Consider the following 13,805-nt stretch of genomic DNA (forward strand, 5'->3'; position numbering starts at 1 on the left):
AAAAGAACAGAAATTATAACAAACTGTCTCTCAGACCACAGTGCAATCAAACTGGAACTCAGGATTAAGAAACTCACTCAAAAACACTCAATTACATGGAAACTGAACAACCAGCTCCTGAATGACTACGGGGTACATAACGAAATGAAGGCAGAAATAAAGATGTTCTTTCAAACCGATGAGAACAAAGACACAACATACCAGAATCTCCGGGACACATTAAAGCAGTGTGTAGAGGGAAATTTATAGCACTAAATGCCCACAAGAGAAAACAGGAAAGATCTAAAATTGACACCCTAACATCACAATTAAAAGAACTAGAGAAGCAAGAGCAAACACATTCAAAAGCTGTCAGAAGCCAAGAAATAACTAAGATCAGAGCAGAACTGAAAGAGATAGAGACACAAAAAACCCTTCAAAAAATCAATGAATCCAGGAGCTGGTTTTTTGAAAAGATCAACAAAATTGATAGACTGCTAGCAAGACTAATAAAGAAGAAAAGAGAGAAGAATCAAATAGATGCAATAAAAAATTATTAAGGGGTTATCACCACTGATCCCACAGAAATACAAACTAACAGCAGAGAATACTATAAACACCTCTACGCAAATAAACTAGAAAATCTAGAAGAAATGGATAAATTCCATGACACATACACCTTCCCAAGACTAAACCAGGAAGAAGTTGAATCCCTGAATAGACCAATAAGGGGCTCTGAAATTGAGGCAATAATTAATAGCCTACCAACCAAAAAAAGTCCAGGACCAGATGGTTCACAGCTGAATTCTACCAGATGTACAAGGAGGAGCTGGTACCATTCCTTCTGAAACTATTCCAATCAATAGAAAAAGAGGGAATCCTCCTTAACTCATTTTATGAGGCCAGCATCATCTTAATACCAAAGCCTGGCAGAGACACAACAAAAAAAGAGAATTTTAGACCAATATCCTTGATGAACATTGATGCAAAAATCCTCAATAAAATACTGGCAAACCGAATCCAGCAGCACATCAAAAAGCTTATCCACCATGATCAAGTGGGCTTCATCCCTGGGATGCAAGGCTGGTTCAATATACCCAAATCAATAAATGTAATCCAGCATATAAACAGAACCAAAGACAAAAACCACATGATTATCTCAATAGATGCAGAAAAGGCCTTTGACAAAATTCAACAATGCTTCATGCTAAAAACTCTCAATAAATTAGGTATTGATGGGACATATCTTAAAATAATAAGAGCTATCCATGACAAACCCACAGCCAATATCATACTGAATGGGCAAAAACTGGAAGCATTCCCTTTGAAAACTGGCACAAGACAGGGATGCCCTCTCTCACCACTCCTATTCAACATAGTGTTGGCAGTTCTGGCCAGGGCAATTAGGCAGGAGAAGGAAATAAAGGGTATTCAATTAGGAAAAGAGGAAGTCAAATTGTCCCTGTTTGCAGACGACATGATTGTATATCTAGAAAACCCCACTGTCTCAGCCCAAAATCTACTTAAGCTGATAAGCAACTTCAGCAAAGTCTCAGGATACAAAATCAATGTACAAAAATCACAAGCATTCTTATACACCAATAACAGACAAACAGAGAGCCAAATCATGAGTGAACTCCCATTCACAATTGCTTCAAAGAGAATAAAATACCTAGGAATCCAACTTACAAGGGATGTGAAGGATCTCTTCAAGGAGAACTAGAAACCACTGCTCAGCAAAATAAAAGAGGATACAAACAAATGGAAGAACATTCCATGCTCATGGATAGGACGAATCAATATTGTGAAAATGGCCATACTGCCCAAGGTAATTTATAGATTCAATGCCATCCCCATCAAGCTACCAATGACTTTCTTCGCAGAATTGGAAAAAACTACTTTAAAGTTCATATGGAACCAAAAAAGAGCCTGCATTGCCAAGACAATCCTAAGCCAAAAGAACAAAGCTGGAGACATCACGCTACCTGACTTCAAACTGTACTACAAGGCTACAGTAACCAAAACAGCATGGGAACCAAAACAGAGATATAGACCAATGGAACAGAATAGAGCCCTCAGAAATAACGCCGCATATCTACAACTATCTGATCTTTGACAAACCTGAGAAAAATAAGCAATGGGGAAAGGATTCCCTATTTAATAAATGGTGCTGGGCAAACTGGCTAGCCATATGGAGAAAGCTGAAACTGGATCCCTTCCTTACACCTGATACAAAAATTAATTCAAGATGGATTAAAGACTTAAACGTTAGACCTAAAACCATAAAAACCCTAGAAGAAAACCTAGGCATTACCATTCAGGACATAGACATGGGCAAGGACTTTATGTCTAAAGCACCAAAAGCAATGGCAACAAAAGCCAAAATTGACAAATGGGATCTAAGTAAACTGAAGAGCTTCTGCACAGCAAAAGAAACTACCATCAGAGTGAACAGGAAACCTACAAAATGGGAGAAAATTTTCGCAACCTACTCGTCTGACAAAGGGCTAATATCCAGAATCTACAATGAACTCAAACAAATTTACAAGAAAAAAACAACCCCATCAAAAAGTGGGTGAAGGACATGAGCAGACACTTCTCAAAAGAAGACATTTATGCAGCCAAAAAACACATGAAAAAATGCTCAGCATCACTGGCCATCAGAGAAATGCAAATCAAAACCACAGTGAGATACCATCTCACACCAGTTAGAATGGCAATCATTAAAAAGTCAGGAAACAACAGGTGCTGGAGAGGATGTGGAGAAATAGGAACACTTTTACACTGTTGGTGGGACTAGGGAGCCGAGATTGCGCCACTGCAGTCAGCAGTCCGGCCTGGGTGACAGAGCGAGACTCCGTCTCAAAAAAAAAAAAAAAAAAAAAAAAAAAAACTAGTTCAATCATTGTGGAAGTCAGTGTGGCGATTCCTCAGGGATCTAGAACTAGAAATACCATTTGACCCAGCCATCCCATTACTGGGTATATACCCAAAGGACTATAAATCATGCTGCTATAAAGACACATTTACACATATGTTTATTGCAGCATTATTCACAATAGCAAAGACTTGGAACCAACCCAAATGTCCAATAATGATAGACTGGATTAAGAAAATGTGGCACATATACACCATGGAATACCATGCAGCCATAAAAAATGATGAGTTCATGTCCTTTGTAGCGACATGGATGAAATTGGAAATCATCATTCTCAGCAAACTATCGCAAGAACAAAAAACCAAACACCGCGTATTCTCACTCATAGGTGGGAATTGAACAATGAGAACACATGGACACAGGAAGGGAGGGGAACATCACACTCTTGGGACTGTTGTGGGGTGGGGGGAGGGGGGAGGGATAGCATTAGGAGATATACCTAATGCTAAATGACGAGTTAATGGGTGCAGCACACCAGAATGGCACATGTATACATATGTAACTAACCTGCACATTGTGCACATGTACCCTAAAACTTAAAGTATAATAATAATAAAATAAAATAAAATAAAATAATCTGTTAAAACTAACAAATTTAGTAAAGTTGCAAGATATAAAATGTTACATTTTTATACAATGACAATTAACTATTTGAAAAAGCAATTAAGAAAATATTACTATTTATAATAGCATCAAAATAATAAAATACTTAGGAATAAATTTAATGAAAGATAAAAGAGTTGTAAGTGAAATCTAAACAATATTAATAAAATAAATGGAAGAAACAAATAAATTGAAAGATATCTCTTTATAGACTAGAAGAATTAATATTGCTAAAATGCCTGAATCACCCAAAGTCTTCAACAGATGCAACACAATTCCTATAAAAGTTACAGTGGCATTTTTTACAGAAATAGAAAAAGAATCCTAAAAATTTGTATGAAAACACAAAAGACTTCAAATAGCCAAAGCAATCTTGAGAAAGAACAAAGGTGGGAGCATTACATTATCTAATTTCAAAATACATACATATCTATCAAAATCAAACTCTATGGTACTGGTATAAAAATCTTTGCACATACACTGAACTAATATTTGAAGAAGGTGCCAAGAATACACAATGAAAAAAATAGAGTCTCTTCAATAAGTGGTGTTGGGAAAACTGGATATCCAAAAACAAACAAACAAACAAACCGAAGAACTGAAATTGTAACCTATCTGAAACCATTCACAAAAATTAACTCCTAGTGGAGTAAAGAATTAATGTCGGTTCTGATCCACGAAATTTGTAGAATAAATATCGAGAATACGCCTTTTGACATTGTCCTGGTTGAGACATTTTCAGGTTCAAATTACTTGGAAATCTTCTATTTTATTTTATTTATTTGCTTATTTTAAGTCTCGAGATACATATGCAGGATGTGCAGGTTTCTTACATAGGTAAACATATGCCATGGTGGTTTGCTGCACCTATCAACCCATCACCTAGGTATTAAGCCCTGCATGCATTAGCTATTTAGCCTGATGTTCTCCCTCCCTCTGCTTCTCCAGCAGGCCCCAGTGTGTGTTATTCCCCTCTCTGTGTCCACGTGTTCTCATTGTTCAGCTCTCACTTATAAATGAGAACATGTGGTATTTGGTTTTCTGTTCCTATGTTAGTTTGCTGAGGATAATGGCTCCCAGCTCCACTCATGTCCCTGCAAAGGACATGATCTTGTACCTTTCAATGGCTGTATAGCATTCCATGGTGTATATGTACCACATTTTCTTTATCCAGTCTATTATTGATAGACATTAGGGTTAATTTCATGTCTTTGCTATTGTGAATAATGCTGCAATGAACATATGTGGGCATATATCTTTGTAACAGAATGATTTATATTCCTTTGGGTATATGCCCAGTAATGGGATTGCTGGGTCAAATGGTATTTCTGGTTCTAGGTCTTTGAGTAATTGCCACAATGTCTTTCACAATGGTTGATCTAATTTACATTTCTACCAACAGTCTAAAAGTGTTTCTATTTCTCCACAGCCTCACCAGCATCTGTTGTTTCTTGACTTTTGAATAATCACTACTCTGACTGGCATGCGATGGTATCCTATTGTGGTTTTGATTTGCATTTCTTTAATAATCAGTGATGTTGAGCTTTATTTCAATGTGTTTTTTGGCCACATAAATGTCTTCTTTTGAGAAGTGTCTGTTCATGTCCTTAGCCCACTTTTTTTTTGTTTTTTTTTTTTTGAGATGGAGTCTTGCTCTGTCGCTCAGGCTGGAGTGCAGTGGCGCGATCTCGGCTCACTGCAAGCTTCACCTCCTGGGTTCACGCCATTCTCCTGCCTCAGCCTCCCGAGTAGCTGGTACTACAGGCACCCGCCACCGTGCCTGGCTAATTTTTTCTATTCTTAGTAGAGATGGGGTTTCATCATATTAACCAGGATGGTCTCGATCTCCTGACCTTGTGATCCACCTACCTTGGCCTCCCAAAGTGCTGGGATTAGAGGTGTGAGCCACCGTGTCTGGCCCCTTTGCCCACTTTTTAATGGGGATGTTTGATTTTCTCTTATAGATTTATTTAAGTTCCTTGTGGATTCTAGATATTAGACTTTTGTCAGATGGATAGATTGCAAAAATTTTCTCCCATTCTGTAGGTTGCCTGTTCACTCGGATGACAGTTCATTTTTCTTTCTTTTTTTTCTTTCTTTTTCTTTCTTGTTTTTTTTTTTGTTGTTGTTGTTGTTTATTTATTTTGAGATGGAGTCTCACCCTGTTTTCCAGACTGGAGTGCAGAGTTGTGTGATCTTGGCTCACTGCAACCTCTGCCTCCCAGGTTCAAGCAATTCTCCTGCCTCAGACTCCTGAGTAGCTGAGATTACAGGTGCATGTCACCAACTCCAAGCTAATTTTTGTAATTTTAGTAGAGACAGTATTTCACCATTTTGGCCAGACTGGAGTCAAACTCCTGAACTCAACTTATCCACCCACCTTGGCCTTCCAAAGTGCTGGGATTACAGGTGTGAGCCACCATGCCCAGCAGACGATAGTTTCTTTTGTTGTTCAGAAGCTCTTTAGTTTAATTAGATTCCATTTGTCAATTTTGGCTTTTGTTGCAATTGCTTTTAACACTTTTCATCATGAAATCTTTGCCTGCGCCTATGTCCTGAATGGTATTGCCTAGATTTTCTTCCAGGGCTTTTATAGTCTTGGGTTTTACATTTAAGTCTTTAATCTATCTTGAGTTAATTTTCATATGAGGTATAAGGAAGCGGTCCAGTTTCAATTTTCTGCATATGGCTAGCCAGCTTTCCTAGCACGACTTATTAGAGAATCCTTTCCTCCTTGCTTGCTTTTGTCAGGTTTGTCGAAGATCAGAGAGTTGTAGATATACAGTCTTATTTCTGAGATTTCTATTATGTTCCATTTGTCTATGCCTCTGTTTTTATGCCAGTACCATGCTGTTTAGGTTACCACGGCCTTGTAGTATAGTTTGAAGTCAGGTAGTGTAATGCCTTCAGGTTTGTTATTTTTGCTTAGGATTGTCTTGGCTATATGGGTTCATCTTTGGTTCCATATGAATTTTAAGGTAGTTTTTCTAATTCTGTGAAGAACATCAATGGGAGTTTAATGGAAATTGCACTGAATCTATAAATTACTTTTGGCAGTATGGCCATTTTCACAATATTGATTCTTCATATCCATAAGCATGAAATGTTTTTCCATTAGTTTGTGTCCTCTCACATTTCCTTGAGCAGTGGTTTGTAGTTCTCCTTGAAGAGGTCCTTCATTTCTTGTTAGCTTTATTCCTAGGTATTTTTTTCTCCTTGTAGCCACTGTGAATTGGACTTTATTCATGATTTTGCTCATTGCTTGTTTATTACTGATGTATAGGAATGCTTGTGATTGTTGCACATTGATATTGTATCCTGAGTCTTTGCTGAAGTTGCTTATCAGCTTAAGAAGCTTTTGGGTTGAGACAGGGTTTTCTAGATATTGGATCATATCATCAGTGAAGAGGGACAGTTATTTGAGAATCTTTAAACCTCATAAATTTAGATGTACATTTCTCTCCCCAAATTTGAGAAGTTTTTGGCTACTATTTATATAGATTGTTGGTCCCTTTCTGTTATTCATTTGAGATTTTCATAATGCACAAATTATTTTGCTTAATAATGTCCCATACATATGACTTATTCACTCTTTTTCATTCTTTTCTTCTTTTAGCTCCTCTGACAGGATAATTTTAAATAACCTCTCTTCAACTTTAACAGTTATTTCTTCTGCTTGAGTCTTCTTCTAAATATATTATTTTTTTTAATTCAGGCATTGTATACTTCAACTTTAGTATTTTTGTGTGATTTTTAAAAAATTCAATGTTTTCTATTTTTGCTGAATTTCTCATTTTGTTCGCAAATTGTTTCCTTAATTTTATTAAATTGTCTATCTCTGTTTTCTTGTAGCACACTAAACTTAAGAGGATTATTCTAAATTGTCTGTCAGTCAGTTCACAGATCTTCATTTATTTTATTTCATTTTATTTATTTTTGAGACAGGGTGTCACTCTTGTCACCTGGGCTGGAGTGCAATAGCATGGTCTCAGCTCACTGCAACCTCTGCCTCCTGGGCTCAAGCAATTCTCGTGCCTCAGCTTCCTGAGTAGCTGGGATTACAGGTGCACACCATCACACCTGGCTAATTTTTGTATTTTTAGTAGAGATGGGGTTTCACCATGTTGGCCAGTCTGGTCTCAAATGCCTAACCTCAAGTGATCCACCTGCCTCAGCCTCCCAAAATGCTAGGATTATAGGCGTAAGCCATCGCACTTGGCCCAGATCTTCATTTCTTTAGTGTCAGTTATTGGAAATCTATTAGTTTTCTCTGGAGGTTTTTTGCTTCCTTGGTTATTTATGAAAGTTATATATTTGTTGTGATGACTGTGTATTTGAGAAAGTGATCACTTCTTTCAGCCTTGGCTGGTTTGCTTAGTGGGGAAAGACCTGCACCATTCTGTCCAGCCTGGAGTTCTAGACAGGCCAGCTGGTAAATTCTGTGAGGAGGAGGGGCCTGATCTCAGAGCTTGTAGTTGTTCAGGTCTGCTGCACATGCTTTACGGTTTAGTAGGGTTGCTGTCTGGGATTTGTAGTTAGGTGTCTTCTGACTGAGCTCTGTATTGTGGTAGGACCACTTCCTGAGCTTTCTGGTTCAGTGGGGCAAGTAGCTGAGCTTTTCAATCACCTCTGGTCATGCAAGTTTACAGGCTATTCCCTTTTCTAGAAGTGTCATTGGTTTACCTCCATGATTGGGTCAAGACACAGGTAAGCTCTGCAATCGCTCCTGGTCAAGCGGGATGCCATTTTTAGCTGCTTGGTGTGTCTGGCTGGACTCCACTTTCAGGTAGGACTGTAGGCTGGGTTCTGCTATCAAATGAGGTCTCAGGTTGCTTGTGCTTCACAGTTGGGTGTGGCTTCACGCTATTTTCTGCTGTGAGTTAGGGTCACCGGCTTGGCTCCCTAGTTTAGTAGGACCACAGACTATGCTCCATGACTGGTCAGGGCCACTGGCTGGGCTTCTTGCTTAGGTGTGGCCACATGCTATGTTCAGCAATTGGTCAGGGTCATGGGCTGGGCTTAGTGACCGGGTAAAACTTTATGTAAGGCTCCATGACTCAAATAATCTTCGGTGAGGAAAATTCTATGCTGTTGATTATTGCAGATAAATGAGTAGAACTCTGTTGTAGGAGTTCATTGTCAGTTCAAGTAATTCTACCTTTAATTTTCTTTCATAAACCAGGCTCATGCATTCTTCTTTCTCCATCAACTCATTATAGAAAATTCTCCTTGAAACTATAGATATACATAGACATGGGATACCTATTAATTCAATTGTGTCTTCCTGAACTTCCTAGGATTCGTCATACCATATCAAGGTGTATTATACCATTTCTGTGTAAAAATAAAATGCTTATTCACATTCAAAAGTTTTCTTTCATGTCCAACTTTATGATTCAGTATATCAGACAACACTTAATTTGTGATGAATAGCTCAAGTTGCATATATACTTGGTTGCTTTTTCTTGAGCATTCAGTCTCTATGCACTAGAAGTAGCAACCCACTAGCAGTAGCAAGCCAGGAGCTTCTTTTTAAATGAAGAACATTGTTAGCAAAATATTGCATGTCCTTGTTTCAAACATTGCAATTCTTCTATCAAGCCTTATTAGAAGAAAAATTCACATTTGCCACAGGCACTTAAAGCACAATTGTATCTGATGGGCTATAAGATCCAAATGACACGCGGCATTTTATTAGAACTTGAATGTGATAGAGAATTGTTTTTTGCTCCAACAAAGCAGGCAGCCTTATAGGTAAGCTGACAAATGGATAAAGCAGCACACATTTACACGTTTATTTAAAATGTCTTTGTTAACTAGGCACGGTGGCTCACACCTGTAATCCCAGCACTTTGGGAGGCTGAGGTCGGCAGATCACTTGAGCTCAGGAGTTTGAGACCAGCCTGAAAAACATGGTAAAACTCTATTTCTACCAAAAAATTAGCCAGGCATGGTGGCACACACCTGTAACTGAAGCTCCTTAGGAGGCTGAACCATAAGAATTGCCTGAACCCAGAAGGCAATGGTTGCAGTGAGCCAAGATCACACCACCGCACTCCAGTCTGGGTGACAGAAGAGGAAAGACTCCCTCTCAAAAAAAAAAAAAAAAAAAAAAAAGTCTTTGTTTCTCTGGGACTTTACAATCACTCATTCTATTGGTCTTTGGTCTGATCTTTAACCATATTTGCTTTTGGCTACATAAGATAAATAACTCCTTTTTTTATTTTACATTGTTAAATGTTCATTTTATGTCTATGTATATTTTCCCTTAAATTCCAACTTGTAAAGTTTGAATGTATATTATACATGGAGATTTCTAAAGATGAATTTTAAGCAATTTTTGTGTTGTGTGACATTTTCCACTGCCTACGCTCTTTCCCTTAAATTTTAACTCCTGAAGCAATACTTAGTTAAGAGCCATACTGTTTTTTGCTTTTTTGAGTACTATATTTCTGTTGTATTAGTTTTTCTGAGTATGTTATGTTTCTTTGGAACATGAAACAATGATAATATAGGTTTTAAGATTAAAACGCAGTGTTCAAATTTTTCCCATCAAATGTGTCTCTCCAAAGAGAATATGGGTTTCAAGAGGGCAAGATCCTCATCTGCTTTGTCCATTACTCTAAGCTTAGTGTCTTATATCATAGGTGCTTAATAAATATAAGCTAAATTAGTGAGGTAAGGCCAGGATTATGCTTGAGAACTGTCTGACTCTCCGCTTTTAATACTTTGGTAGTCATCATTATGATAAGGATGGCGTTCAACTCCTTAGCTTGGCATCTAAAGTATTAACATTTCTCGTTCTGTTTAGGCTATAGCTCATATCATTGTATGGACTCTAAGGATTAATATAGTCCAGGCCTTTCAAACTGCTTCATTTCATATGTCAGTTTTTCTGCCACTCTCTAGGCATTAATCACCTACCACTCTCAAGTTATTTAAATATTCCAAACATAGAAACTACAAATAGTTTGTCTTCTGCATTCAAGTACCCTACCTGTATTTCCTTTACCCTCTTAATTTCTCTTAATATTTTCTAGGTTAGTGGATATTTTACTTCCTCAGGCACTTATTTTCTAACCATCAATGTTAGGTTTTGTATCCATTTTATTTTATATTAGATTATAGTACACTTCTTATAGCTTGGAAATGTATGTTAGCATTGATAATTGTGGAAATGTCTAAAATGTAAATCTAAAGTCAGAGTCTGTGTCAAACTATTTACTCATTATTGTATCCTTGAAATGAAGCATAGTGACAAATTTGTGCTTAATAAACATTTGCTGGATACAAATAAAGAGGTACATAAGTGGATACATGCTTAATAATCTAATACATCTGCATTTTTTCCATATGGATCTATTATTTATAAATGAAAACAAGTTTGGTTCACCAAGCGTGCATGCACTTCGGTACCTCTGTGCTTCTGCAGATATTAACCCTTCTAAACACATTGTCTTCTGCCCTGTCAACTGCACATTCCTCTCATTTTCTCTTTATTTTTGCTCCCTCAGATTCCAGAAGATCTTCATATAATTTAAAGATTCAGGACACTCCTAATTTCTTATCTATTATGGCAGAATTTACATAAGGCAGAATTTTCATTACTCACAAAAGGTGAATCTTCCAGGATTAGATTTTTAAGTTTGTACTACTCTTTTGCAAAACTACATTCTCTATTGAAAATAAATTTTATAATTATGCTGTGAATTTGAAGTTTTTCTCAATCAATAGAAATAACTTCATTTTTGCCCCCTTGGATCTATTATTTCTACATTTATGACAGTAATTCATGTAAACAGGTGGTTTTCCTCTTTCTGATGATTTCCCATCACATATAACACAAGTTCCAAATATCTTAGTACAGCATTCTGGTGCTATATTAAGTAGCACCTGAAAATTTTTCAAGTGTTATTGCCCATTATTTATTACTCACAGCATTTATCAAATTGATTCATACAGCAAGTATCTATTGAGAATCTGCTATGTTTCAGACACTGTTTTTAAGATTGTAGACAGAGCAGAGAATAAAACAGGCAAAAATGTCCTATGGTGATGCAACATGTATTCTGGATGGCAGGGTGAGGAGAAAACAAAGGAAATATACAGTATATTAGAGAACAGTAAGCATTTCAGGGAAAAGAAATAAAACTGAGGAGAGACAGTGAGTATCAGGAAGGGAAATGCAATTTTAATGTGGTCAGGGAAAACATTGTCTGCAACATTGGAGCAATGACATAGTAGAAGTCAGAAAGCCCCAATTCTAAATGTGACTAACTTTAAAAATCTGTCAGGACTCAGTTATTTTATCACATGCCAATGTAAGACATAAAGGAGATACCTGTTTCCCTCCTGACAACGTTGAGTTTGATGCCCTATATATGTGTTTTTATAGAATTATGTGTTTATCATTCTCATAGTACTTGCTTGGTAAATTAAAAATATCCCTGTATATGTCTCTCATCCTTTATCTACTAAAATGCAATTCTCTTAAAAAATACTTTTTTTGATAGTGATCTTAGCAAACATGCATAGTAAATGTTTCTTGAATCTATTTGACCTAGTTGTACTGGGATGGTTTGCAGGCTATTCCATAATCACCATATTATGATAGTCCAATCGTTTTTACATTTTATAGTTTCCTCTTTGTAAAATGAGAGAAGTGGTAAGTTGTGGGGAAGTTTAGAAGAAAAAGAGTGGTCAAATTTCTTCATTACAATGAGATGGAACTATTATCATTATCTAGGATGGTCTTCAAACTGCCTTTATAAAAAGTAAAACCTCTCAAAGGAAATCACTATTTTCTTTATATTATCATTCCTTTTATACTGAGTATGAAATTGGTTGTATTTCCAGATCAGTGAGCCCAGCAGAAGTATAAAATAAATTTAGTTAGTTTGAATTTTATTCACAACCAAAGTTACAGATTTTGATGGTTTTTTTCTTTATTAAAAATTCCTAGCACTGAATTTCTGCTGCAGTATGATTGAGTGGTTGCTATTATACCCATTCCTCTACCAGACAACTATAATATCTAGGAGCAGATGAAGGGACGTTACCTAAACACTCAGAAATGTGAGCAAATACATCCAGGAGATGACACTTAGATAAAGGGAATAGGAAGGGTAAGTTATCAATTCCTATATCTCTGAGTCTGAGGTCAGCCTGTAATAGATGCTACTCCGGGGAGATGAAACTCCAGTGGCAAAAGTTCAGAGCAAATCATGTGGCTAAAAAAGAGGGGAGAATCCCAGAAAGGAAATGTTCAAGGAGATATCACCAAATTATTGGTGTAACTTTCTCTGAATCTCTGACCCCTAAATCAGTCATGTGTGAACAAATTTCAGATAAAATAAAATTGAACAAGCAGGTTAATCCAAATAATGTAATGCCTGGAAACATCATAATCAAGCTGCTGCAAAACAAACAGCAACAGAAAATTTTGAAAAAGGCCATAGAAGTCTGACATTTCACATAGGGAAACAACCTCTGAATGAAAGCCAGCTTCAACAGAAAATATCAAGTCCAAAAGACATTGGTAAAACATCAGTAACATAATGGCAGGGATGAACTTTCAAACAGGAATTACATACCAAGCAAATATATCCACTGAGACTGACATTGTAACAGATTAATCTTCATATAAAAGCTACCTGAGAGAGTTCTTTCTATTGGACCTGAACTGGAGATTTTGAAAGAAATTTTTCAAGCCAGAAATAAGGAACATAAAAAAATGGTAAATATTTGGGTAAACATTTTTATCTTTTCTATTTATTTAAAAATCATAGATCATTTAAGGCAAAAAGTAAAATATCATGTCTTATTATTTATATTATATGTAGATATACTAGAACTTGAGTAAAAATTGAGAATTAGATATGTGAATTTATGGTTGCAAGGTTAATACTAACTCCAAGAAGACTAAAAAGTTAGGGATAAAGGAAAGTTATGAGTTCAGATCTTGGAGATGTTTACAAGTATAATACAATAATACTGTGGATAATTTTATGCCAAAAATTTGACAATAAAGATGAAATGCATAAGTAACTATAAAGATACAACCTAGTAAAATGACTGAAAATGACTGAAGAAATAGAAAGTATGCATAGCCTTATATCTATTAGTTACATATAAAAAATAAACTGCCAGAAAGAAATTGCCCAGGAATAGATAGTTTTATTGATAAATTTCATCAAACACTTAAAAAAGAAATAATACCAATCCTATTCAAATCATTTCAGAAAATATACAGGGAAAGGATACTGCCGAATTGTAAGTCCAAAAT

This window comes from Homo sapiens, chromosome 11 (genome assembly GCF_000001405.40).
Source record: "Homo sapiens chromosome 11, GRCh38.p14 Primary Assembly".
Taxonomy (NCBI): domain Eukaryota; kingdom Metazoa; phylum Chordata; class Mammalia; order Primates; family Hominidae; genus Homo; species Homo sapiens.